General features: G+C 50.5%; 1 protein-coding gene across 49 annotated transcripts in view, besides 5 other annotated features; it reads left to right on the plus strand.

Moving 5' to 3' along the window:
- The window catches only part of GSN (gelsolin), a 131,360-nt gene that overhangs the window by 85,875 nt on the left and 18,544 nt on the right, over positions 1-26,941 (plus strand). For 13 of the 49 annotated variants that reach the window (NM_001353054.1, NM_001353053.1, XM_047423273.1 and 10 more), the window contains 5 exons: positions 14,606-14,810; positions 15,554-15,708; positions 23,327-23,488; positions 24,982-25,131; positions 26,577-26,666. In NM_001353054.1, the coding sequence (NP_001339983.1) occupies positions 14,615-14,810; positions 15,554-15,708; positions 23,327-23,488; positions 24,982-25,131; positions 26,577-26,666 (753 nt within the window). In that variant the 5' untranslated portion in view covers positions 14,606-14,614. Of the gene's footprint in view, positions 1-346; positions 10,486-12,078; positions 12,133-12,302; positions 12,348-12,473; positions 12,649-12,698; positions 12,770-14,566; positions 14,811-15,553; positions 15,709-23,326; positions 24,872-24,981; positions 25,132-26,576; positions 26,667-26,941 lie in introns of those variants that run through there. The other 36 variants (XM_047423267.1, NM_001353064.2, NM_001353066.2 and 33 more) reach the window with 13 other exon arrangements.
- Positions 54-348: a silencer, noted in NCBI's record as "tiled region #178; K562 Repressive DNase unmatched - State 1:Tss". NCBI's record gives its function as "represses a minimal TATA promoter and a strong SV40 promoter by Sharpr-MPRA in K562 cells {active_cell/tissue: K562}" and the evidence as "EXISTENCE:reporter gene assay evidence [ECO:0000049][PMID:27701403]".
- Positions 7,032-7,654: an enhancer, noted in NCBI's record as "H3K4me1 hESC enhancer chr9:124056667-124057289 (GRCh37/hg19 assembly coordinates)". NCBI's record gives its function as "activates a minimal SCP1, AML or CMV promoter by ChIP-STARR-seq in primed H9 embryonic stem cells {active_cell/tissue: H9 hESC(primed)}" and the evidence as "EXISTENCE:reporter gene assay evidence [ECO:0000049][PMID:30033119]".
- Positions 12,112-12,772: an enhancer, noted in NCBI's record as "H3K27ac-H3K4me1 hESC enhancer chr9:124061747-124062407 (GRCh37/hg19 assembly coordinates)". NCBI's record gives its function as "activates a minimal SCP1, AML or CMV promoter by ChIP-STARR-seq in primed H9 embryonic stem cells {active_cell/tissue: H9 hESC(primed)}" and the evidence as "EXISTENCE:reporter gene assay evidence [ECO:0000049][PMID:30033119]".
- Positions 12,350-12,529: a silencer, noted in NCBI's record as "silent region_20234". NCBI's record gives its function as "represses an Ori minimal core promoter by ATAC-STARR-seq in GM12878 lymphoblastoid cells {active_cell/tissue: GM12878}" and the evidence as "EXISTENCE:reporter gene assay evidence [ECO:0000049][PMID:35858748]".
- Positions 12,600-12,649: a silencer, noted in NCBI's record as "silent region_20235". NCBI's record gives its function as "represses an Ori minimal core promoter by ATAC-STARR-seq in GM12878 lymphoblastoid cells {active_cell/tissue: GM12878}" and the evidence as "EXISTENCE:reporter gene assay evidence [ECO:0000049][PMID:35858748]".

Below are 26,941 nucleotides of genomic sequence, written 5' to 3' on the forward strand. Positions count from 1 at the left end.
GCCTAGCCTCAGTTTCCCCAAATGTGAAAGGAAGATGTGGGCCCAGTCCTGGCTGAGCCTCAGAATCAGAGGTTCCCGGGCCCCACCCTAGACCTACAGACTCAGAGGCTAGGGGTGGGGCCTGGGAATCTATTGTTTCCTGAGCTCCTTGGGTGATCCTGCTGCACACCTGGTCCACAGAGGTGTTAGGGAACTGCTCGGCTCAAACTGGCTCCCAGCTGGGCCTCAGAGCAGCTCGGCCTCTGATTGAACTTCACTGACCCACAGGGAGCGCCCTTCTCTTGCAGAATGCTTTGGCAGAATAGTACACAGGAAGCGTGTGGGCTTTTTTTTTCTTTTTTTTTTAAAAACAGCTTTATTGAAATATAATTTACATGATTTATTGGAGTAAATTTACATATAATTTACATACACATAATTCACTCAATTCAATAATGTTTAGTACATTTACAGAGTTATGCAACCATCATCACAATCCAGTTGAGAAGATTTTCATCATCCCCAAAAGGATCCCTCATGCTTGCTTACGTCCATCTCTATGCACACCCCATAGCTGACCACGCATCTGCTTTCTGTCTCTTTGTTGTTTTATTGTTGTATTTTTTGTCACCCAGGCTGGAGTGCAGTGGCGTGATCTCTGCTCACTGCAGCCTCAACTTCCTGGGCTCAAGCGATCCTCCCACCTCAGCCTCCCGAGTAGGTGGGACCACAGGCACACACCATCATGCCTGGCTAATTTTTGTATTTTTTGTAGAGATGGGGACTTGTGGTGATGCCCAGGCTGATCTTGAACTCCTGAACTCAATGGATTCCTCCCGCCTCAGCCTTCCAAAGTGCTGGGATTATAGGCATGAGCCACCTCACCTGGCCTGCTTTCTGTCTCTCCGAAGATCCAGAGCTGTGTTCATTCCAGCTGGCCCTGTGACCTCATGCAAATTATTGCCCTTCCATTACTCCTCTGTATGAGAGGGAATAATCCTACCCTCCTTGTAGGGGGTTGTTTGAATTTCACTAATGTGCACAGTGTCTGACGCACCCGAGGAGCTGGGCACGTGGGAGGCTGGTACGCAGGGCACAGGACATAACACAGATGCCCAGGTACGGTTGGCACAGGCCTAGCAAACATTTTAAAGCACTCACTCTGTGCCAGCTTCTTAGATTAAGCATCTTACATGCATTACCTACTTTAATCCTCGGTGAATGTGAGTATCAGTTTCATTTTATAACTGAAGAAACGGGCACTGAGACGGGAAGTCACTTTTACAGGCTCACATAGATGATAGTTGATAGGGCTGGGAGTCCATCTGAGAGCCTGTCCTCCCTAAACATCATCCTGTCCCCTTCCTGATGTGAATCACCAAGCAAGGGACAACACAATTCATAGATCCAGGACAAGGTTTATGGCACATACTTCTAAGGGGTGGGACCTGGTATCATGGACACGGCATTCAAGAGATAGTACATGGTATAGAGTCTGTCACAAAACAGACATCACATGGTGCATGAAGCATGACCCAGGGGTAAGAGGCATGGGATGCCGCTAAAGGGAGACACACAGGACAAAGCAAGAGGAACGCAGGGCCTGCTACGTGGCACAGTCACAGGGTATGTGACACTGGGCATGACAAACTCTATGATGCAGAGACATGGTACTTAGGATTTGAGACTTGAGCTATGGCAACTGGGCAGGCTCTTGGCCACAGTGGGACCCTTTGTCATCAGGGATCCTCCATTATGTTGGTGCCTGGGGCCCCAGCAAGCAACAGCAGGAACCAAGTTCCTCCTCCTCACAAAGGCAGTCTGTTTTTTTTTTCTTTTTTTTCTTTTTTTCTCCCTCCTCCTCCCTGTCTCTTTGGATGCCAAAGAGTGGGAGGGGCCCAGCGGAGTGGTGGCCAGAGTAACCCCCCGCCATCCCATCAGCTCAGACAAGGGTCAAAGCTTGGGGCCAAGCCCACGGCTCAGGAAGGGTTTGCCAGGCCCCCAGATCCCCTCTCTCTGAGATAGCTGTGAGCACCAGTGTTGGCTGGGGTGAAAGCCGGGTAATTTTCCTCTAAGCTGTCCTCCCTCCGCTCCCCTCCCTGCCTGCTGGTGCTGGCTGTGAGCACGTCTGCATTCCAGAGCTTAGGAGAGAGAGAACCTGCTGCTGTTAAGGTTGAGGAAGTAGATTGCTAACAGCTGCTGTAGGAGGGGTTGGATGTGCGGAAGAGGAGGCCGTGGATTGCAGGCTAACATTTCTTGAGCCTCTTGGCACCTGGCACTCACTACCTCATCTTGTCTCATTTGCATAAAGCCCCAGTAGCCCGGTGAGGAGACAGGCCCAGAGAGGCAAAGAACTTGCCTAAGGTCACACAGGGAGGCAGAGCCAAGGCTAGACCTTGGTCTCCCGGAGGCAGGCAGGTGAGGTTGTATAGAGGTGATGGCACAGGGGATGTTGTTGGGGGGTTAGTGGGCAATGAGACTGCAAGGGCTTGTGGGCCCCATATCACAGAGGACCGAACTCAGGAGTCCTGACTTCTTTCTGTCTGCACCGAGGTCTGCAGAAGGGATGATGCAATCTGTATGAGTGACAGGCCCAGTGCAGAGAGAGTTTAAGGGAGTGAGGGAGCTGATGTTATGATCCCAGGGAAAAGATGGGGACACCAAACCAGGACAGTGGCTGGAGTGTGGGGGTGAGAAGTGGGTATAAAGTGGAGAGGAGATGAGCTTGGTCTCTGCTCTGGTCTCAGCCTTTATGTACTGTCTTGGTGGGATGACCGTGGTTGGGTCCTGCCTCCAAGGGTATCCCAGAGGGTTCTAGAAACTCCCACATGGACAGGCACTTGAAGGATAGTGCTGGTGATTGGGCAGGTGCCTGGATGGAGGTGAGGCCTAAAGCACACCCGGGGACAGAAGGCAGCACCCACACGGGAGCCCAGCTTCGTGCCAGGGACTGTATTTTAGGTGCTGGATCTTGTTTAAATCTTCCGGCTGGCTATGATTATCCTCTAAGCTGGGGAAGGAAGAAAAGCATTCCAGTACTATACCTCTGTTTGGGTTAAAGGAGGGGAAAGTATTTTAAATAAAACCTATTAGAGTTAAAAGGATGAGTAGCAATAAAAATATCTTTGAATCTCTGATGGTTCTATTGTAGTCAAAAGTTTTAGATAAATTGTGAAGAATCTCTAATCATGCTATGTGGAGTTTTTCTCTTTTAAAAAATACAAGTTATTGTATATACTTAAGGTATATAACGCGATGTTATGAATACATTTAGATAGTAAAAAGGTTACTATAGTGCAGCAAATGAACATATTCATCATCTCAGCTGGCACAAAAGTAATTGCAATTTTTGCCATTACTTTCAATGACGAAAACTGCAATACTTTTGCACTGCACTAATAAAATCTGCTCATTTAGCATGAATCCCAAAATACAGTACAACTTATTCCCTATAGTCCTCATGTTGCACATTAGTGCTCTTTTTTATTTTTAAATTTTTATTTTTGTTATTTTTAATATAGAGAGAGACAGGGTCTCACGACATTGTCCAGGTTGGTCTTGAACTCTGGGGCTCAAGTGATCCTCCCTCCTCAGCCTCCCAAAGTGCTGGGATTACAGGCACAAGCTCTCTACACTTGTTCATTCCACGTATCTGCTACCTTGCACCCTCCATATCCTCATTCGTGGATTCAACCAACCACAGATCAGAAATATTAAAAAAAAATAAAAATTAAAAAAAGTAAAAATAATACAAATTTTAAAAACAGTGCAGTGTAACAACTATTTACATAGTTTATTGTTACATAGAAATTTACATTTACATTTTTATGTAACAACTACAGTATAACAACTATGTAAATAGCATTTACATTGTATTAGGTTTTATAAGTAATCTAGAGAGATTTAAAGTTTAATACATGGGAGAATATATGTAGGTTGTATGCAAATACTGTACTATGCCATTTTATATATTGGTGTACAGCATCTGCAGATTTTGGTATCTGAGGGAGGTCCTGGAACCAACTGATCCCGCGTGGATAGGGAGGGACAACTATTCTCTGATATGTCTCCCCACTGGACTTTTTTTTTTTTTTTTTTTTGAGTTGGAGTCTTGCTCTGTCACCCAGGCTGGAGTGCAGTGGCGCGATCTCGGCTCACCGCAACCTCCATCTCGTGGGTTCAAGCCATTCTCCTGTCTCAGCCTCCTGAGTAGCTGGGACCACAGATGCCCACCACCATGCCCGGCTAATTTTTTGTATTTTTAGTAGAGATGGGGTTTCACCATGTTAGCCAGGCTGGTCTCGAACTCCTGGCCTCAAGTGATCCACCTGCCTCCGTCTCCCAAAGTGCTGGAATTACAGGTGTGAGCCACTGCACCTGGCCCCCATTGGACTTTTTCTCTAACTGATTTGTACTTGTATCAAGTTCTGGTGAGTCCGTGAGATAATATGGCCATTCTATCCCTGTGGACACTGAAGCTCAGAGAGGTTGTGTCCCTTGCTCAGCATCACTCAGTTGTAAGTGCTAGGACTGGGATCCAGAGCCCTCACTTTTTTGTTTTTGGTTTTTTGCTTTTTTGAGTCAGGGTTTCACTCTGTCACCCAGGCTGGAGTGCAGTGGCACAATCATAACTTACTGTAGCCTCGACTTCCCAGGCTCAAGTGATCCTCCCACCTCAGCCTCCCCAGTAGCTAGAACTACTGGTGCATGTCATCACGCCTGGCTAATTTTTTAATTTTGTGTAGAGACAGGGTCTCACTCTGTTTCCCAGGCTGTTCTCAAACTACTGGGTTTAAGCTATCCTCCTGCCTTGGGCTCCCAAAGTGCTGGGATTACAGGCATGAACCACCATGCCCAGCCAAGAGCCCTTGTTCTTTTGGGTGAGGCAGAACAGGCAAAGTCAGAGAGGAGGGGAGGGGGTGTCATTAGGAGTCTCATGGAGGGGATTGGGTAGCAAGGCTGGCTCTGTAGGTGTTGGCTTGAGGCCCTCTCCTGAGATGCATCCCCATCCCTGGTACCAGCCTTGTTTGGAACCCTCCCTGTCTCCCTTGCTTTGTATGCAAAGACACAGAGGTAGAGGGCTAGGTATGAGGTAGGTATAGGGCAGGTATAGGGGCCAGTGAGCTGTATGTGTGTATAGGGTCTGGACACATGCTGTAGGTCATCTTTGGATGTTATGCTTACTGAGCACCTGCTGTGTGCCAAACACAGTGCCAGGGCTCCTTCAGTCCTACCAGACACCCCACCAGGTTGGCATCTTCACCTCATTTTACAGAGGAGGAAATTGAAGTGCCGCAGAAGGTGCCACTGGCTCAAGTTCCCTGGTGGTAGGGATTTGGGCTCTGTCCAGATTCATCCCTGTACATTGCCTCATATTCCTTAGGTTGGAAGGTCACTTGTCCTCACCCTGTTGGTCATTTTTGGTATCTCCAGCCCACAGAGACTCCGCAGGCACTCCTGGATCCCATTGTCTTTTCCCTCTTCCCCGCACCTGCCCCCTTTTGTCTTTCTCAGGGAGTTCTCCCTGCAGAGTGCCTTTGCGGGGCATGGTCCACGGATCCCTCACATTTATGGTCTCATTTAATCGTCTCAACTAGCCTTCAAGAAAGGCACTTTGACCCCGATTTTCCACATCCAGACAATGGGCTCACACTTCCTGCCAGAGCCCAGCAAGGAGGAAATCTTGGCCATAGTTGGTATGGGAGGCTTGGGGACACAGAAGGGCTTTGTTTGAAGCCAGCAGCAGGAGGGATGTGGCACCATCATCTGATGTGCTGCATCATTCATTGTCCCCATCGGGAAGGTGGTTGGCCTGGGGAAGCTTCCAGCATTCCTGGTAGATCCCAGTGAAGGATGAATCTGATCCCTAGGCAGGCAGGAGGGGACCCTGGCCAGATGCACAAACTTGTTTGCTTTTTGCTGTGTGTCTTTTAGCATCCTTGAGTCCCAGGGCCTGAAGGGTTCTTGGACATGGGCCGATTTTCCTGTCACCTATGTCCCCTCAACCTCATCACCACTGGGCAGCTCATTATCTCTCTGGAAAAGGGGAAGGAAACCAGCATTTGTCTTTCCATTTTTTTTTTTTTAAACTGTGGAAACATACACACATCATAAAATTTGCCATTTAATAGGCCGGGCGCGGTGGTTCACACCTGTAATCCTAGCACTCTGGGAGGCCGAGGAGGGCAGATCACTTGAGGTTAGGAGTTCGAGACCAGCCTGGCCAACGTGGTAAAACCCCGTCTCTACTAAAAATACAAAAATTAGCCAGAAATCACTTGAACCTGGGAGGCGGAGGTGGCAGTGAGCCGAGATCACGCCGCTGCACTCCAGCCTGGGTGACAGAGCGAGACCCCATCTCAAAAAAAAAAAAAAAAAAGAAAGGCATTTTTAACCCTATCTTACATGTAAGGAAATTGAGGCTCAGAGAGATAGAAACTTATCCAAGTCTCTCTTTTAACAATAAAAGCAGCCTCCTTTATATGTGCTTATTCTGTACCAAGCACTGTGCTAAGCCCCAAATGTTCTTTACCTTATTAAATTCACACAACTACCCTAGGAAAAAAGTATTATAATCCCCGTTTTATAGATGAGGAAACGGAGGCTCAGAGAGCCAAAACAACTTGCTCAAAGCCACACTGCTAATAAGTGATAGACCGGGGACTTAAATGCAGGCATTTCTGGTGGGAGCTCTTTCCACGATCACATAACAGAAGGTTGCTCTCTGTTTTTCTCCCTCTTGGAAAGTCCTTCCTCTGCAGAGCAGGAAGCTGCCTCCTGTGGCTTCTCCTGCTCATTCTGGCTTGGGTTGGGGCATTGTAGACCCTGCCTTCCCCTGCAGCTCTGCAGAGCCTGTGACTCTCCAAAGTCTTCTGCTGGTTCCACGGTCCCAGCATCTGCAGCCAGGCCTCCCTGTCTTGTTGTGGATTTGCGTTTGTGCCTGGGCTTCCCAGGGGTGGGTGGTGGGGTGCTGAAGGGGCTAGGACAGTTATTTGCAGCCCTGGCTACTGACCCACCACACCTCTCAGGGCCATTTCCTCCCCGAGAGAAGGGGAGACAGACTGCTGAAGTGGGTCCTAGCAAGAAGGGCCCAGAGCTCATACCCATGGCCAAATCTGGCTGCTTCCAGGACATGGGGTCAGGAAGTAGCAGGGCCAGGCCCCTCCAGATGTCCAGCCCTGGGTCCCAGCACTAGGTGGGGCTGGCTCCGGAAGCTGGGAAAGGACCATGGCTTTGGTCCCTGAGACAGTTGGTCTCCTGGAGTTGGCTTCAGCCAAGCCCCGCTGGCCATCTCCCCAACAGCTGGCCACTCCCAGGATGGACTTGGCCAAAGCAGAAGGCCAGCCAGCCCCGATGGGGAGCACTGCTGTGTCATGGAGACCCAGGCCTCAGTTCTGGCCTGGTTGTTGAGAGACCTGAGTTCTAGATCTACTCTGCCAGGCACTTGTTTGACTTTGTGACCCTGAAAAGTCACCCTCTTGTTCTTGGTGTGATCATCTACAAAAGAGAAGACAGACTAATGAACACTGCTGCTAATAAGTCCTGCTCTGAACAACATACTCCAACAGTCTCACTTCTGTTCCCCCAAAAGTCCTGCAACTGGGCATCACTGTCCCTGTTTACAGATGAGTGACCTGAGGCTCAGAGAGGGAAGGTAACTTGCTCTGCCTTACACAGCCCAGACCTGAACTCTAGCGTCTCACCGTGAAATCTGTAACGTTTCTCCCGCACCATCACATACCGAAGGCAGGCGTCTGTGCAGAAAACAGGCTGCTCAGAAAGAAGAGTGCTTACTTTTGGCGAGCTCCTGTGCGTCACATCCTGGGCTTCCTCACTGCTCCATGCTCTAGGTACCATTCTCCCCCTTTTAGAGATGAGGAAACTGAGGTCTGGATTGCAGAAGCTGAGTCCAGATTCGCAAACCTGTCCACAGGGCTTGCCGGAACTTTTCCAGGCCCTGTTCAGTTCCACTGGGTTTCATAACTGGCTTCTCTGTTTACTGACCATTGTCCCAATTAGCAAAATCCCTGGTCAGAAGGGCGGGTGCTCCTAGGAGGACCCAGAGAACAGCAGTGAGCCAAAAAGTAAATAGACTCCAAGAGAGGGCTTTCCATGAGTGGCTGGCTGCCTGGAAAATCAAGAACAACAGTGTTTGGAGTGAAGAGAAAAGAACAGGGTGGTGTCTTCCAGGCCCAGCCAAGGCCTTTTTGTACACTGTGGCTGGGGATGGAAGGGGCGGGGGAGGCCACCTCCTCTGGTCTCTGGTAGGGGGTCCCGCAGACATACAGAGACCAAGGTTACAGAGGAAAGGAGGGCCCAGAGCTGGTTGTGTTGTGGAGGTCCTGGGTCAACTACAGGGGAGGGAGGGGTCCCCCAGGGGGACATGGGCTGTACAGCCCCCATCCTGTGGCAGACACAGAGAATCTGCCTACTGTGTGCCTGGAGCTGGGCAGGATCCAGGAATAGCCGAGATCAGAGGTCAAGGAGATCTCCGAGGTGCACAGAAGCAGAGACCAGGACATGCTCATGTACTGAGTTGGTAGCAGAAGGGCTGCCTCCAAATCAAAGAAACCATGCCAGACCTGAGTGCCATGTGGCTCAGAGGGCAGGTGCCACAGCCAGTCCTGCACTAAATGGCCACAGCCTGGGGATCTTCCAGGCCTTTGGCCTGGGCAGTCACATCAGGTGTGTGAAAGGCTAGAGGGCTTTCCCGGTGTCACCTCCTGCCCTGGCCTGGGAAGTGTCGTGGGGACAGCTGCTCCGGAGACTCCTGGCTGCCAGGCTTGACTTGGGCTTGATTGATTTAGCCTGTTACCTGGAAAGGGCACTGCTGCTCCCTGCCCAGGTCAGGTGGTGCTAGGAGCTCCTGCTTGGTCTCCGCAGACAGAGCCTGGGCTCTGAAGCCAGTCAGACTTGTGTTTGAATCTTGGCAACACCTCTTTCCAGTTGAGTGACTTGAACCTCCCTGAGTCTCAGTTTCCCAGGCTGGGCCCAGAGGTGAGGTGGCATGCTGCTATCAGTGACTGCAGTGCCTCCTTCCTCAAGTCAGGGGCTGTGGACTGTCTGATCCAGAACGGCCTGCAGAGGTGACCTGGCCGAATGTACCCATTTTACAGATGGAACCCTGAAGCTCAGAGACTTGTAGGTCCTGGATTTGGTTGTACAACCAGTATCTGGTACTGCTTGGGCTAGGAAAGAGGCTTCGAGTCAGAGCATCAGGCCCTACCCTGTATTTTGCATATGAAGACACTGAAACCCAGAAAGGTACAGTGACTTGCCCAAGGTCACCAGGAAGTCAGTGTCAGAGCCAGCCCTAGCACTCGGGCCTCTTCCTTTCCACCTAGGGGTCCTTCTCTTGTACCTGAATTCCCCCATTCCCTTGAACTCATACATCTTCTTCCAGGCTGGAAGCAGAGTAAGACAATGTTGCCCGCATCATGGTCTCCACTCATCAGTGCCCTGTAGCAAGGGCTCCAGGGTCTGTAGTGAGGGCTCCCAGAGGGCAAGGGTGGGGTCTGTTCACCAGCTCTCCTGTGCCAAGGGCCTGGGCTCCAGAGCTATATGGCAGGCAAAGCTGCAGGCCCTTTGTGATCATTAACGTGGTCCCTGGGTTGATGGCCAGTGGCCTCTGGGGCCAAGGTCAAGCCACAGCAGCCCCTCTATTAATCACCAACTATGCAGGTCAGAGTCACACTGCTCTGGAAGGGGCCCCTCAGCTGGGCAGTTGCTGGCCCAGGTTCAGTCTGGGGGCTGGGCAGCTAAGAAAATTTCTTCCTACTTGTTTGAATTTTCCAAATTGTCTAATGAGCAGGCATCACTATAAGCATATTTTAAAAGGGATTGTTTCTGGATTTGTGTTTTATAAAAGAACAAAACTATATTGGATATACACTTGTAAAGTTTCAAATGCTACGGCAATGCTTTTACAATTTTTTCGGCTAGTATATTAAGGTATAATTTACATATCATAGTGATTCACACACTAAGTATACCTATAGTTCTATGAATTTTAGTAGATTTAATTGGTTATATAATCTTCACCATAATCTAGTATTAGAATATTTTTATCACCCCGAAAAGTTCCCTCATGCCAACTGCAGTGATCTAGGCACTTCCTCCAGCCTCAGGCAGCCACGGCAATGTTTGAGGATGAAATTCTCCTCCTTCTTCCCTTTCCAGCAAACGGCCTTAACAGTTTGGTGCTTACCCTCTGATTTTTTAAGGGTATATGCAAAAACAGGCACCATTGTAAAAAGGAGAAGAGGAGATATACTATAGCCATTGTTGTGCAATTGCTTTCTGCACTTGGAGATCTCCCTGTGTTTATTGAGTGCCTACTATATGCCAGGCACAATCAGACGTAGCTCATTCTTTTTTCACAGCTGCATAGTGTCTATTGTAATGGTGGCTCCATCATTTATTTAACCAGGACTTTTGGGTCCTTTCCAGTTTTCTTCAAACAATGCTTCAGTGAACATCCTTGCACATATATTTTTGTGTTTGTTGGTAAGTAATTCTGTAGAAAGTGGAACTGTTGTTGCGTTGTGTGTTTTGAGTTTGGATAAATTTTTTATCTAGAGAGGTGAAACTGGTTTATGCTTCCATTAAGAGCCTATGGGAGCTGTGGGGTTTTTTATAATATCATCCTCCAAATGGCTAGGGGGAAGGGAGAGCTCTCTGAATTTAGGCCAGAGCTGGCCCACTGCAGGCTGGGCAGGCCCAGGCCTGGACTTGGAGCCCGGAGAACTCAGGTATCCCTCTGGGGCCCCCCACAGACACCGAGACAAAGTTCAGACTCTTCAGTGTGGCACACAGGCCTCGGTGACCCCTGCTGCCCTCTGCAGCCTCCTCTGCTCTTGCTCCCTGTGTTTCATACTGGACCCCTGGTAATTCACTGGATATGGTTATGTTTGCCTGCCCTTTGCCTATGCGTCCCCTCCCCCTGGAATGTCTTTTCTTCTTAATCTCCGTCCTCCCTGTCCTTCAAGGCCTGGGTCACAAGTCCCTTTCTCCACGAAGCCTTCTTATAATCTCTCCAGCCTGAATTGTCTTCTCTGTGTTCCTTTAGTCTTTTATCTGAACCATATCCCCCCTTAGGTGGGAGCAAGTTGTGGGTGGGAGAGGGCAAACTTCAGCCTCATTAGATAGAGGCTGGACTTCCGGAAGAGCTGGGAAGGGGGACCATAGTTTCTGGGGAGGGGTGGAGAACTCACATTTACCTAGCTGCTGGCCAGGCTATTTTCATACCCACAGACCGATTTAATTCTCAACTACTGTACTCATTTAGTAGATGAGAAGAATGAGACATTGAAAACATGCACAGTGGAGGTGGGAATGAAAGCCAGCTCTCCAACTCTCCAGTCCTCTTTCCTGTCACTGCATCAGGCTGCAGGGTGAAGGGGAGGTCTGGGATACAAAGAGAACTTAGAGGTGGAGCAGTTGGATTCTGTGCAGTGCTAGGAGGGAGGAGAGGGGTTGGAGTAGGTGGGAAGTAGGCCTCCTTCAGTTTGGATAGCACTTCCCTTAACCCAATGACTCTAGTGGGAGGGTGGAGGGATGGGGATGGGAAGGGAGCCTGGGAGTGAGGAGGAAAGGCAAACTCTGTCTTCCCCCAGGGGAGTCAATGAATAGTACCTAAAATGGAAACCAAACAAAACAACTTCAGGAAGTAACAAGGGCTTGCTTAGAGACATGACGGTAAACCCTGAACCATCAGCTAAAAGAGGTAGATAGCAGTGGTTGCCCCTGGGGAGAGGTAAATGTGATGGAGAGGGAACAACTGTGTACAAACATGTGACTTTACGTTTTGATCAAAATAAGACTTTTAAAAAACAAACACTTTTTAAAAAGAAGGAAAGAAAAGTAGGAGGGGCTATCCCAGGAGCTGAGCGTTCTGCCCCGCCCCTCTGAGTCCTGCCGGCTTCACCTGCCCACGGGAGCCGGGTCCCCTGCCCTGCTGCGGCGCATGCTGCCTGGTGGGGGTTCTGCCCAGGCCCACTACGGCCTGAGTTCAAATCCCGGCAGCACCATTTACAAGCTGTGTGCAAGTTGCTTCACCACTCTGCGCTGTTCCCCCCTCTGTAAAATGGGTTGGCCGTTGTACCCTCTCTGAAAAGGATGTGCTGATGCCTCGGTGAAAAGCTTTCAAAAATTGTTAGTTCATGTTATTTTTTTGCTGGAGGTGTTAGGTGCGGAGAGGCGAGGGGGCTCGCGTGCGTCGCAGGAGGCTCAGCTGGGCTCGCCGCCGCTCGTGCCTGCGCCCATTTAGTGTGCACACAGCTAGCGCCCGCCGTATGTCAGGCCTGGTGCTGGGTCTCCGCCCCGGAGCTGGGGTGCAGGGGCTGCCGCGCCCTGTCGGGTCGATCCGGGTGGGAACCCAGATGTCTCCAAGATCCGAGACAGATCCCCGCCCCGCGCCCTCCCTGGGGGGCGGTCCCCGGCTTGGGCGGGATGGGCGGGCGGCTACTTAAGGTCGGCGACCCGAGGCCGCGGCTGCCGACTGGGTCCCCTGCCGCTGTCGCCACCATGGCTCCGCACCGCCCCGCGCCCGCGCTGCTTTGCGCGCTGTCCCTGGCGCTGTGCGCGCTGTCGCTGCCCGTCCGCGCGGCCACTGCGTCGCGGGGGGCGTCCCAGGCGGGGGCGCCCCAGGGGCGGGTGCCCGAGGCGCGGGTGAGTGCCCGGGGGGCCCCGGGGCTCCCGGAGTAACTCTCTATTGTAAGTTCTTGCAGATACAGCGCTAGGAAAAGGGGAGTAATTCAGGTCTAGAATGGAAAAACTGTTTTGTTGCTTTGTAAGTATCTCTTGCTGCTTCCGGGGCTCTGGCTCGCAGACGAGGGTGGGAGCCTCGGGGCCCTGGCTGTTCCTTCCCAGGAAGCTAACCTCACCTTGGCCGGATTTCTTTTCCCCTGTCCTCCTCTAACATCTTACCTCCTGTCTCCTGAATTCTCCTTTTCCTTCTCTGATTTTTTCTCCCCTCTGCCTCACTTCTCTCCTTCTCTCTTCTGATGTCTTCTTCCATTTACGATTCCTTGTTCTCATTTGATCTCTCTCCTTCTCCAATATTTCCTTCTTTCTTGTATGACCTCGCCTGTCTGCTTATGGTCATTATTATCATTTCTTCTCTCCTTTCTGCTGTCTTCCCTGCCCTGTCTGGTTTCGTGTTTTTCCACCCTTCTGCCTGAGTTCTCCCCACCTTGTTTCTCTGACTTCTCTCCTCTGATTTTTACTCCCACCAGATCTCTTCTCCGGCCAGAGGTGACCTGCACCTGCTGATTTTTGTCCTCGACTCCAGCCTAACCCTCCTGCACCCTCCCCGGCCCCAGCCCCAGTGCATGTGTAATAGCCTCCCCATTTTTAACCACTTCATCTCCAACAGCCTCCTGCAGACCCTGGTGCATCCTCTTCTCCTCTTCCAAGAAATGAAATTTGGGGGTGGTGTGTTGTGGGGCAGGAGGGAGGAGGCAGACAGCGCAGGAGGCCACTTGGACTCAGCCATTTGGACCCTTCTTGGGGGTATGATGGGGATGGGTACAGAGAGGAGAGGGGGCTCCTGTGGATCACAGGAGGCTCAGGTGGGCTCACCTCGATTTGCGAGTGCACCCACTTAGCGTGCACAGAGCTAGCGCCTGCTGTCTGCCAGGCCCCGTGCTGGAAATCTTTCCACTTCCAAAGAGCAAAAGCAAACAGGCTGTGTGACCTTCGGTCAGTCCCCTCCCCTCTTTGAGCCTCAGTTTCTCTGTCTGCAGATTGGGGTTGGATAATGAGCTCTCAGAGGGCCCTTTGGTTTCAAGAGCCATTGAAGATGCTGGAAGGAAGCAAGCTGAGGCCCTGGGGACCCTTAGATTTACTATTGCCATCTGAGGGGTCTACCCATCATCCCAGAGCTTGTGATCTTGGAGCCTGGGGCAACCCCTGCTACACTGTTTCCTAGCTGGAGGTCCCTGGCAGAGTCCCTTCATCTCTCTGTGCCTCGGTTATCACATCCAATTGGCAATAAGAAAAGAAGGGAGGCTGGGCGCGGTGGCTCACGCCTGTAATCCCAACACTTTGGGAGGCCAAGGCAGGTGGATCACCTGAGGTCAGGAGTTCCAGACCAGCCTGACCAACATGGCGAAACCCTGTCTGTACTAAAAATACAAAATTAGCCAGGCATAGTATCGCATGCCTGTAATCCCAGCTACTCAGGAGGCTGAGGCAGGAGAATCGCTTGAACCCAGGAGGCAGAGGTTACAGTGAGTCGAGATTGCACCATTGCACTCCAGACTGGACAACAGTGCGAGACTCTGTCTCAAAAAAAAAAAAAAAAAAAGAAAAAAAGAAAGAAAGAAAAGAAAGGAGCAGGGAGGTAGAGCCCTCTGTACCCTCCATCACCAGAAAAAGCTGAAGAGGGGCTGAGTAGGAGGGACAGATGCTGGCCAGGGCACAGGTTTTGAAGCATAAAACTCTTGCCCTGTTTGCTGACTCGTTGAGACAGGGTGCCCAGAAGGGGATAGACTTCCCTGGGGCGTGGGGAGAGCAGGAGGCTCAAGTGAGATGCTCTTGGTGCTAGAAACCGCCCTCCCTCATGCCTGGGGTCTCTCCCTGCCAGGACCCTGCCCCGCTTAGGCTCTGCCCTGTCTCATCCCAGCCCAACAGCATGGTGGTGGAACACCCCGAGTTCCTCAAGGCAGGGAAGGAGCCTGGCCTGCAGATCTGGCGTGTGGAGAAGTTCGATCTGGTGCCCGTGCCCACCAACCTTTATGGAGACTTCTTCACGGGCGACGCCTACGTCATCCTGAAGACAGTGCAGCTGAGGAACGGAAATCTGCAGTATGACCTCCACTACTGGCTGGGTGAGGCTGGCCCTGCCCAGCCCCTGCCCCAGCCCCCATTCTGAACAGTGCAGACCTTTGGGGCATGGTCCCCAGGGAGGGAACTGATTATTGAGCACCTAGTATGTGCTGGGCCCTTGACTGGTGGTTCATGCCCTGAGACGCTAGAGCCAGCCTGGCCAAGTTCACACCCCCACTCTGCCCCTAACCCATGTTCTGTCCTTTGGCAAGTCACTTAGTGTCCCTGTGGAGTGGACATGATGATAGCTCTGCACTACCTCACAGGAATGTTGTGAGCGTTAAACACCTTACTGTGACACTCAGAACTGTGGGTGAATTGGAGACCCTGGACCTCTCCACAACTTCCCTGGCCCAGCTCCAGGCACTCCCCAGTTTGCCCTTGAGTCAGGAGCCCGGAGTCCCTGCCACACCTCTGCCGTGGGATGCTATAAGTTCTGCCCCCTTGCTGAGCCTCAGTTTCCTAATCTGTGAATTGATCTGATGCTCCCAGTCCTGAGTTTACGCTCAGGAGGGCTGAGAATGAACATAAGGGAATGTGACAGAGCTGGGAGGACGCTTAGAGAAAAATGAGGTCCATCGTCCTGTTATACAGATGGATTAACTGAGGCTCACAGAAGGCAAGGGCTTTCTCAGCTTCTACAGCTAGGTCAGGGCAGTGCTGGGGTTCCTCCTCCACCTCCTCTTCCTCAGGGGTCTGGGATACTTCTGGAAAGCCAGGCTCATATTGCTCTGATGTCCCGTAGGCAATGAGTGCAGCCAGGATGAGAGCGGGGCGGCCGCCATCTTTACCGTGCAGCTGGATGACTACCTGAACGGCCGGGCCGTGCAGCACCGTGAGGTCCAGGGCTTCGAGTCGGCCACCTTCCTAGGCTACTTCAAGTCTGGCCTGAAGTACAAGGTGGGTTGGGCCCCACCTTGCTTGAGCGGTAGGGACAGATGCACCAGTAACAGGGCTCACTCAGGCCCATCTATCTTTTGGCCTTGTGATGCAGTGGGCAGACCGATCAGAGGTCAGGCTTTGGAGTCAACCAACATTGTGTTTAAATCCTGGCCTCTTTCTAGCCATGTGAGCTTGGACAAATCACACTGCCTTTCTGAGCCTCTGGTTCCTTATCTTAAAATGGGGAGAAGAAAATTCCCCATAAGTTCATAGTGTTGTCTTCCTAGCCCCAACAGTGAGGAGTGGGCCAGAGGTGAAAATCCAGTTCTTCTTGCAGGCCCTGGGGGGCTTTGGCCTAGTCCTGTTCTGGTACCCCTTAATTCTTAAGGCCTTGCCAACAGAGGGCCCCGTGTTAAGTATTTAATAGGGCATTGTTAGTCACATCCCTCTTTCTGTTCACTAGAATCCCCTTTGAACTTGAACTCTTCAGAGTCTGGATCAAGACAGAGCTCTTTTCCCAAGCTCCTAGCCAGGTGGGGCAGAGCAAGGCCAAACTGGGAGCTCCAAGAGGCTGCACCCTAATATGCTGGTGACTTCCTGCAAGCCACTTGACCTCCTTGAGCCTCCCTTTCCTCTCTGGTTACCTGAGAGCCAGTTGTACCTGCCCTACAGGGCTGGGAGAGGATTTGGTGTGGGGGTGGCTGGGAAATGCCTTGCGTGGGGCTTGGCCATCTGGAAGGGCTATGGAAACACTGTAGTTTTACAAAGCTGGGGTTTTCCTTGGTCAGGATAGAGAAGGGGATCACAGGCTTTCACAGCCAGGTGGGCCTTAATGTCAGAGTCCAAATCTCATTTTACCAGGGGAGAAGGGGAACTGAGACACAGAAAGTCTTAAGCAATTGGCCCAGAGTCACACAGCGAATTGGTGCCAGACCCAGGACTAGAACCCAGATGTTCTGACTCTTAGCATTCTTTCCACTAAACCAACATACCTCTAATGACCAGGGTCCTAGGGTAGGGTCCAAGCCTGTCTGTGCTGCTGATGTGCTGTGTGACCTTAGAGAAGTCACTGTTCCTCTCTGGACCTCAGGATCATCTATGTCAATGGAGTGGTGACCTTGTCTGCCCTGGTGAGGCATAAGAGATTGAATGATGGGAAAGTGCCAGTGAGACTCAGATAGCAATGGGCAGGGTGTGTCCTGGGAACTCACAGTCCAGGGCTGGGCAGGGCTGGGCTGGATTCCCTGGAGCCCCTTGTGCCCTTGCACTGAGCTCCTCCTGCTGAGGTGTCCAGCTCTGCCTTCTTCCCACAGCCCTTTCTGGGGCCTTGATACCTTGCAGAAGGAGAGGTGAGAAGTTTGGGAGCCAGTCCCCTGAGCTGGAGAAGGACCAGGTCTTTTTGCAACTTCTGGAGCAAGAAATGGAACGAACACTTGCCCAGGAATCACAGAGATTGGGATTCAGGTTGGAAGGCTACCTTCTGTAACTGCTGTGAGACTTTGGGCAAGTCTTGTATCTTTGGGCGGGTGTTCTCAATCATCCTCCATTCATCATTCATTCAGCAAATATTTACTGAGCCTCAATAACAGCAGCACCAGCTCATTGTTGCTACACTATGGCAGATATGGTACTGGGAATGTAGGTTATCTCGTTTCAGCCTCACAACTGTCCTGGGAGGTAAGTAATTCCCATTCCATTTTACAGATGAGACTGGAGGCTCAGAGAGGTCACATAACTATATTCAAACCAGGATTGTGTTCCCTTAACTCTGCCAGGCCCTGTGATGGGTGCTGGGGTGCCCAAGTGAAGAAGGTGGGTCCCTGCCCTTGAGAGTGTTCTGAGGAGTTGGGGAGACTGGCAGGCTCACGAAGAGTTAATCCATTGCCTCCAGGTGGGGTGATGTGGGATCCCAGGGAGTGCTCAGCTCTGAGAGGGGTTCAGGGATGAGATAGATGAGTAGGTGTTTGCTAATCTATCTTGTCCTAGTCACTGTTTCTTAGGGCATAACCTGACAGTCTAACATGGTTACAAATATGAGAGTTCTCATATACACAGAAAGGGTGATTTTCCAGGTCAGAGAATGTTGCAGAGCAGGTCATAGGCTCCCGGATTTTTAGGAATAAACAAGGATGATAATAACCCTTACCGTGTGTTAAGCCTTGACTACAAGATCTCATTTAATTCTCACTGTAGCCTTTAGGGTGGATGGTAATGCTCCATTTCATAGACGAGGAAGCTGAGGCTCAGAGGAGCAAACTAACTTGCCTAAGTTCACACAGCTAGTAAAAGGTGCTTGTCATTGAACACTTATCTATTACTTTCTGTGTGTCAGGGACTCTTCTGGGTGCTTTACTCATTTAACTCATTTTACCCTAACAGGTAGGGTATCTGTTAGCACCATTTTATAAATGAGGCTACTAAGGCACAGAGATGTTAAGCAACTTTTCCAAGGTCACACAGCTAGTAAGTGATTGGACTAGTGTGCAAACCCAGGTGTGAAGGGCCTAGCACAGACCTGGTTCAGAGTAGACATTTGGAGGCTCCCTGATCTTTGATCCTCGCTCGGATATGGCCTGGGATCTACTTGGATAGCCAGGTTCCCCGGCCCCCCGATGATTTTCCAGGATGTTCTTGGATCACACTCGAGGAAAGCTCCAGCTGGGCCCAGATTTGGGGCTTCTGTCCTGAAAGGCGCTGGCTCCTGGTGTGAATGGGAGGCCCAGGGCTGGTCTTGTTTACCACCTTCTGTAAGTCCTCAGTCTGCCCCCGCACTTGGCAGGTCCAGCCCAAGGTTCTCGCCCCGGCGCCCTCATCAATTATAGATCCCGGAGGAGCAGGGCTTGTTATGCAAGACTTGTTCCTGTGAAAGCCTCTTCCTCTGAGCCAATTCTGTCCTCGGAGTGTGAGAAGGGGCAGGGAGGGGACAGCAAGCCACTAGAAAGGGCTGACATGGGGCTTGGCCCTCTTGTTCTATGACCCCCAAATCCTTAGATCACTGCCCTGCAAGAGAGTTCAGAATCCCTTGATTCCCCGCCCCTCCTCCTCCCACTCCGCAGACCCCCATTTTTGGACTGAATCCTGGAGACCCCGTGGGGCTGGGTTATTTGAAACCCATTGTTCAAATGGAATCTGGGCTAGGCAGAGACCTAGGAGCCCTTGGACCTGAGGAACACAATTGGGAACCCATAGAATCACTGGAACCTTTCTGTCCTCCCTCTCTCCTATTCCTTAGATAAGGAGCTCTGAGTTTAGAGGGTGGAGGGGCCCAAGCCTGATCAATTCATTTTTCTTTGTTTTAGAAACAGTTTAACTTTTGTTTTCATGTAAATCTTCATTGCTTCTTTTCCCCCTTCTTCTGACTACAAGAGCAATATAAGCTTATTGTAAAATGTCAAACATTACAGAAATATAGGTTCCAGAAAATAAAAGCCCTCCCAACATGATTCTCCCCTTGGAGATATATAGTGGCTAATTTCTTTCTGTCTCTCTGAACGTATATAGGTAGACAGACACATATATATGTAATCACTTTAATTTGGAAAATGGCTTTTAAAACAATTTATCCTGTAGAATTTTGTTCAAATAATTTGATGCCAATCTTGCTCACCTAATGATTAGACCACAGAAAGCAGCAATCAGTGCTAAAGATGATAGTCAAAAACAGGAAAAACTTCAAAAAACTTCTTTCCCCTGCCCTTGTAGATCCACTAATGTCTTCTAAGAGCTTGCTTTAATTTATTTTTGTTAATTAATCTTTCCAATTCTAATTCCCTAGACCAGTAAAATTAGAGGAGTTAATTAATCAGGCAGCTCATGGCTGCAATAATTCAACATCAAGAGTTATGTTATAAGGCCGGGTGCGGTGGCTCACACTTGTAATCCCAACACTTTGGGAGGCCGAGATGGGTGGATCATTTGAGGTCAGGAGTTCAAGACCTGCCTGGCCAACATGGTGAAACCCTGTCTCTACTAAAAATACAAAAATTAGCCGGGCGTGGTGGCGGGTGCCCGTAATCTCAGCGACTCAGGAGGCTGAGGCAGGAGAATCACTTGAATCTGGGAGGCAGAGGTTGCAGTGAGCCGAGATCGTACCACTGCATTCCAGCCTGGGCGATGGAACGAGACTCTGTCTCAAAAAAAAAAGAATTATTTTATAAATAAATACAGAGAATTTTTAAGAAGTGAGATTTATGACATGAAGCAACCCTTTTCCTTTTTAAAAAATAGGGTAAAGATTTTAATAACAAAAATGAAAGGCATACTTCAACAAGTAAAATATTTAGAGGGGTAAAAATTTTTTCTTTCCCCCCATTTCCTTGTCTCCGAGGAATCAATAGAAACAGTGAGTCCTTCTAGCACCTTTTGGAAAAGGTTTGCACATCCACTCTCTCATTATGTCCAGGTGAATGAAGTCCCCTGGTCAGGAGTTCCTAGGCTGACAGTTGAATGAAGCTGGGTCCCTGGAAGGGGGATCTTGGGGATAGAACCCAGCACTGCCGCCCAGCACTGGGCTCTGGACACAATGCTTAATCTCTTTGAATCTCAGTTTCCTTGCCTTTGAAGTGGGAAAATTATTAATAGTTCCTGCATCAGGGGCTTGTGGTCAGGACTTCATTGCATGCACTTAAAGCAGGTGCCCCAGCTTTGGCAAAGCTCGGTAAGTGGCAGCCACTGTGCTTGTTTCAGGTAAGCACAGCTGAGCACAGGTGAGCGCAGGTTGTTGCATTTTCTTCCCTGGCGGTTCTTCCTCACTTGCTCTGGGCAGGCTTGGTTACATCGGTCTCAGAACCCTCCTGTCTTTCTGCGCTTCCCCTGCCTTTCTGCGCTTCCCCTGCATTGCCCTGACCTATGTCCTTTGCACTCTGCCTGGCTCTCCAATCCCAGGCCTCACGGCCATCCAGCCTTCGGACCCCCTCAGTTGTGACTGCAGTTGTGACTGCAGCTGGTCAGTCCCTCACCCCAGAGTCCCAACTCACTCCTTCCTGATGATGGAAAAATTTACTGTCTTGCTTCCCAGTTTTGGGCAGCAAATTCAGGAGCAGAAGTCACAGTCTTACCCCTTGCTCCACACCGAGGTCAGTCATAGTGTGGCCAACCCACAGCTCCCTTGAAGGGGCCCTGGAAGCAGGGTGGAAAGATAGGTTGTTAGCTCTGTGAGCACTGGCCGCCCTGCTAGTCCCAAGGGACTCTTGAAAGGCCTTAGCTGAGACCAAGAAGGGACACCAGGGAGTCCTCCAGCCACTGGCAACCCAAAAACATCCATTACTTGAAAGAGGGCTCTGAATAATGGCTTGTTCCTGCCTCCCATCCTGGATGACTGAGTGATCTTTGCTCTAAGAAAACCTGATATTGGCTGGCACAGTGGCTCATGCCTGTAATTCCAGCACTTTGGGAGGCCAAGGCGGGAGGATCACATGAGGCCAGGAGTTCGAGACCAGCCTGGCCAACATGGTGAAACTTCATCTCTACAAAAAATACAAAAATTAGCTGGGCATGGTGGTGCACATCTGTAATCACAGCTACTTGGGAGGCTAAAGCACAAGAATCGCTGGAACCCAGGAGGTGGAGGCTGCAGTGAATTGAGATTACACCACTGCACTCCAGCCTGGGCAACAGAGCGAGAAAACCTGATATTGAGAGAAGAATGTGGATCTTACAGATTCAGACATGCCTGGGTTTGAATTCTAGCTCCACCACCTTGGGCAAGTCCCGTCACCTGTGGGCCCCATTTTGCACATCAGTGCGATGCAGCAATGACACCTCCCTTGCAGGCGATGCGTGAAGAATGCCCGGCACAGTGGGCATCATCATTTCACAAACACGTATACTGCTGACACAGGAAGACAGAGCAGGAGCCCAATATACACGGACTCCGTTTGTCCCTTGCCCTCCTCGAGTCTGTGCGGCTAGAATTAGACTTAGCACAGTGGGCTGAGGGGCCCTGGATGGGGTGGCTGCATTGCTGGCCTGAGTGGAAGCCCTCTGCTTCCACCCCCATGTGTCTCCGGAGCAGGGAGACGAGCACCCGATTGGGAGGAGGAAACAAGGTTTCCAGCCTTGGCTTGGCCACGCACTTGCTGAGTGCCCTTGAGTAAGTCACTTCACTTCTCTGGGCTTCAGTTTACCGTGGGTAAAGTGGGGTGAAGTAGAAGGACCTTTCCAACTCTGATTTGACAACTCTGGGGCATGGAGCTGGGGACTGCTCACAGGAAAGCCCAGCTGACTTTCCTTGGCTTGCTTCTGAGTGAGGGCAGTTGTGACTGCAGCAGGGAAGCTCTCCTGAACGCCTTGCTCTGGGATGCAGTAATGATTACAGAGGGCTGGGGAGCAGGAGCTTGTGTCTCCACTTCAGAAAGGAGAGGCCTGAGGCTCGGAAAGGGCAAGTGACTTACCCAAAGCCATCCAGCATTGTTGTGGCGGGGCACCTGTCCCTTACCCATAGCTGCTCTGAAGGGACTGCTGGGTGGGAGTTGCTGCGGTACCGTAGGGGAAAGCAGAAGGGTGGCATGGGCTGGAACAATCCAGAAAGACTTCCCAGAGAGCCTTGAAGGATGAGAAAGATTTGGATTAGTACCTCTCAAAGTGGCTTTTGCAAAATACTCAAGCTGGAGGCAGGATATGGTGAAGAAAAGTGGTTCTTGGGCTGGGTTCAGTGACTCACTCCTGTAATCCCAGCACCCAAGGATCTCTTGAGGCCAGGAGTTCAAGACCAGCTTAAACAGCATAGTGAGACCCCATGTCTACAATAAAATAAAATAAAATAAGTAAGCTGGGCACTGTGGCTCATAACTGTAGTCTTAGCCACTCGAGAGGCTGAGATGGGAGGATCATTCAAGTCCAGGAGTTTGAGGTTACAGTGAGCTGTGATTGTACCAATGCACTGCAGCCTGGGACAGAGTGAAACCCTGTTGAAAGGAAGGAAGAGAGAGAGAGAGCGGAAGGAAGGAGAGAGAGAGAGAAAGAGAGAAAGGAAGGAAGGAAAGGAAAGAGAGAGGGAAAGAGAATGAAAGAAAGAAAAAAAGAAAGGAAAGAAAAAAGAAAGAGGGAAAGAAAGAAAAGCAGTTCTTGGTTCAATAAGATAGGGAAATACTGTATAAAACAAAAGGCAAGCAGGTGTATTCACCATAGGATTTGACAGAGCCTTTATTATGCACATGCGCGTTGTATAACAGTCAGGGAGGGTGAGTGAGAAGCATTCCCTATGCTTATTTGACCGTGGAACTCTTTCCTTGCAGAATGTCTTAGGGGACTAGTGTGCCTTTGGGAAACGCCGGTTTTGAGGAAGGAATTGTTGCAGTTTTTTTGATTTAGAAAGTGGCTACAGGGGTCCTTGTTAGTGGAGTATGGGATTCAAAGGGGTGGCAGAAAGATGCAGTGGGCAGGGAATCTCTCACTTCTTAGCTGTGTGGCCTTGGGCAAATTTTATTCCTTTCCTAAACCTCAGTTTCCTACTCTGAAACAGTCTCAAACAAGATAATGGGTATGAAAGTCCTGAGTTAACTGAGAATCACTGTGTTGCTGGAAAGCCCCTGGTCCACAAGCCAGAATTTCCTTTACCTCAATTCTGTCCCCTTCTTCCATATCTGCTTCCCTGGGCCTTCTCCCCTGGGCTAATGCTGTCTCTTTGGCCCCACAGAAAGGAGGTGTGGCATCAGGATTCAAGCACGTGGTACCCAACGAGGTGGTGGTGCAGAGACTCTTCCAGGTCAAAGGGCGGCGTGTGGTCCGTGCCACCGAGGTACCTGTGTCCTGGGAGAGCTTCAACAATGGCGACTGCTTCATCCTGGACCTGGGCAACGTGAGTCCTGCTTTCCTCTTTCCCAGGAGCCACTGAGGTGCTCCTGGTCTGATCAGGGACTTGGGTACATCCACGTGAACAAATGCATAGATGCAGGTGGGCAAACCACAGGGACCAGCATTGTTCACGTACAGATATGTCTGTATGCAAAGACTCCCACAAATGTAGACTCACACCACGGGTATAGTGCGTACTTGGACTTTGATTGACATATAGACTTCCTGGCACCTTCTGTTCATATGTACGTCTTGTGTCCTTTTTCACATGCTTATAAATATATAACAGTCATGGGCAAACACTCTGGGCTTTTGCCCACCAGGTGTGCACATGTGCACCATCATGAATGCCCACACATGTATACTCGGGTATGTTGTTTAAGGTCCCACATGTGTATGTCATACATGTAGTTGCACATGCCCATGATCTATGGCAATGTGTGTGGGATGCCCTTACCCAGGCCCACCTTATAGATGTGTGACGCTTTGTACACACTTGTCTCACAAATCCCTGGAGCGCAGACCTGCAAATGGACACGGCCCTTCTACCCCAAAGCTCATATGCTTATACACCTGTGATATAATGTCCGTGCAAACATGAGCACACACTGATTTAGTGTAAGCTTTTTATTAAAGCGTCATGGGCACACAGAGGAGTGTGTGAATCCTGAGTGTACAGCTTGATGGATTACACAGAGCGAACACACTCACGTAACACTGGATCATGAAGCAGAACCTCACCAGCCCCTAGAAGGCCCCTTTTGCCCCTTTCGGTGCCCTCACCCCAAGGGCAACCATCATCCTGAACTTTCTCAACAGCATAGATGAGTTTTGCCTGTTTCTGAACTTTATAGACACGGAACCTTGTTCTTTTATCTCTGACCTTTTGCTCAACATTACATTTCTGAGATGCATCCGTATTGTTGCATTTAGTTGTAGGTTGTTCATTTTCCTTGCTGTGGAAGATTCAGTTGTGTGGGTGTACCATGATTTATGTATCCTTTATGTTGTTGATGGGCACTTGAGGTGGCTTCTGGTTTGGGGCTATTACAGACAGTGCTACTCTGAACATTCTTGCACAAGTCTTTTGGTGGACATACGAACGTACTTCTGTCAGGTATTTTCCTAGAAGGAGGATTGCTGGGTCATAAGGAAATAGGTATATTCGGCTTTAGTGGCTATGGCCAAATGGTTTTCCAAAATGGTTGTGCCAATTTATATTCCCTTCAGCAGGCAAACATTTTTGCACACATTCTAGATGTAGTTGTACCTGTGAAAAAATTCCTGTCCTCAGACATGCGCTCCCATCTCCTGGTGTGTGCAGATCACACTTAATTGTACGTAAATAATGCACGTGTGCAGACTGTGCCAGCCTTCACCTGGGCAAGTGCAGAACAGGGTGAGCCTGCACACCACACGCCACACTCCCCAAGCCCTGTCGCTGGGCGGGGCTTATAGGAAGGCGGGGCACTGACTTCCTGGGTCTCTGTCTTCCAGAACATCCACCAGTGGTGTGGTTCCAACAGCAATCGGTATGAAAGACTGAAGGCCACACAGGTGTCCAAGGGCATCCGGGACAACGAGCGGAGTGGCCGGGCCCGAGTGCACGTGTCTGAGGAGGGCACTGAGCCCGAGGCGATGCTCCAGGTGCCTGTGGGGTGCGCAATGGGGTGGCCATGGGGACACGCTGCTCATGACTTTCTTCTGTTCAGTAGGCAATTTGAGGTGAATTTGAGGAAAAAAAAAAACTTCCGCTCTACCCCACCTTTTTATTTTTAAAATACTTTTTTATTTTAATTTTTGAGACAGGATCTTATTCATTGTTGCCTGAGCTGGAGTGCAGGGGCGCCATCACAGCTCACTGCAGCCTTGACCTCCTGGGCTCAAGTGATCCTCCTGCCTCAGCCTCCCGAGTAGCTGGGACCACAGGCGAGTGCTACCAAGCCAGGCTAACTTTTGAATTTTTTGTAGGAATGAGGTCTTGCCATGTCGCTCAGGCTGGTCTCCAACTTCTGGGGTCAAACCATCACCTGCCTCAACCTCCCAAAATGCTGGGATTACAAGCATGAGTCACCATGCTGGCCCTGCCTCACTTTTGAGGCTGTTTTTCCATCAAACCTGATCACTTTAGGGAGCAAGGGAGATCAGTTTCTTGCACAACTCCCCGACTACCCTGAGAGGTGGGACTGGAACCCAAGGCTGTGCTGTGAGTGTGAGCCGCATTCTCCAGTGGGGAGGGCCAGGTCCTCTGCAGAGCTAAGGAGGGCAGTCTCTTAGCATCCCCAGAGGGCCAGCTTTGTGCTAGAATAAGGTCAGAAAGAGACCACTGAGCCCCAATCCCCTCTTTTCTCTTCTGACTATTTCTGGTAGTTTTTGGCCCATTTAGTCACATGGTGGGATTGCCAGCCATTGTGCGTTGAGGACGTATCAATAGAGGCAAGATTCACTAGGAAAAGGAGAAGACCATGAGCTCTGCTCCATGTCACTTGGTTCCTGCTTCTCTGGGGGCATCCAATTCCAGCTTTTGGAGAGAGCAGAATGGTGATTATTATTATGGGAAGGGACCTGGACACCAACCATGGCTTGGGAGGGACAGTGGGAGTGAAAATAGGCTCTGAAGCCACAGGGATGGAGGTTCAGATTCTGGCTTAGCCACCTAATAGCTGTGTGAGTAGGTGACTTCATCTTTCTGGACCTCAGATTCCTCTTCTGTAAAATGAGAGTGATAATCTGTGCCTCCTGGCCTGGCTGCGAGGATGCAGTGACATCTTTTAAAGGTAGGCGGTAGAAGGTGTTCAGTAGCTATAGTTATCACAATTAGCCGGTAGGCGAAATATCTGAAGCGCTGTCTGGAGGCAGAGGAGCAGGAGTGTTCTCCTGGAGTTTCTGAGTCAGGGAGACAAGGTGGAAGGGACCTCTGATGGACAGATCTGGACATGTGAGCAGATGCAGGATGTGTCTGGAGGAGGTCAGACTCCATGGGGAGGGTCACAGTGGATGTCCTTGTGATCCTTGCCTGCCTGGGAGCTATCTCAGGAGCCTGGCCCCTCCCTCACAGCCACCCTTCCTCTCCATCTCTCTATCTCCTACAGGTGCTGGGCCCCAAGCCGGCTCTGCCTGCAGGTACCGAGGACACCGCCAAGGAGGATGCGGCCAACCGCAAGCTGGCCAAGCTCTACAAGGTGAGCACCAGATGCACTGTCTGCCTGGGCATGGGGTCAGGACAGGGAGGTGGAAGACTTGGTCTTCCCCACTCCACTGCTATGGGACCTTGAGCAAAGCACCCCTTTGGAGGGGGGCCTCAGCTTTCTCACGTCTCCAGTGGATGCTCGTGTACTTCCTTTGCTTTCCTGCACTAAGAGCATGCGATCAACTCCGTACATATCTGTGTCACGCTCATACATGAGGTCTCTCTGAGTCTCAGTGTCCTAGTCTGTAAAGTGGGAAGAAGAGCAGA

This window comes from Homo sapiens, chromosome 9, assembly GCF_000001405.40.
Source record: "Homo sapiens chromosome 9, GRCh38.p14 Primary Assembly".
NCBI lineage: Eukaryota > Metazoa > Chordata > Mammalia > Primates > Hominidae > Homo > Homo sapiens.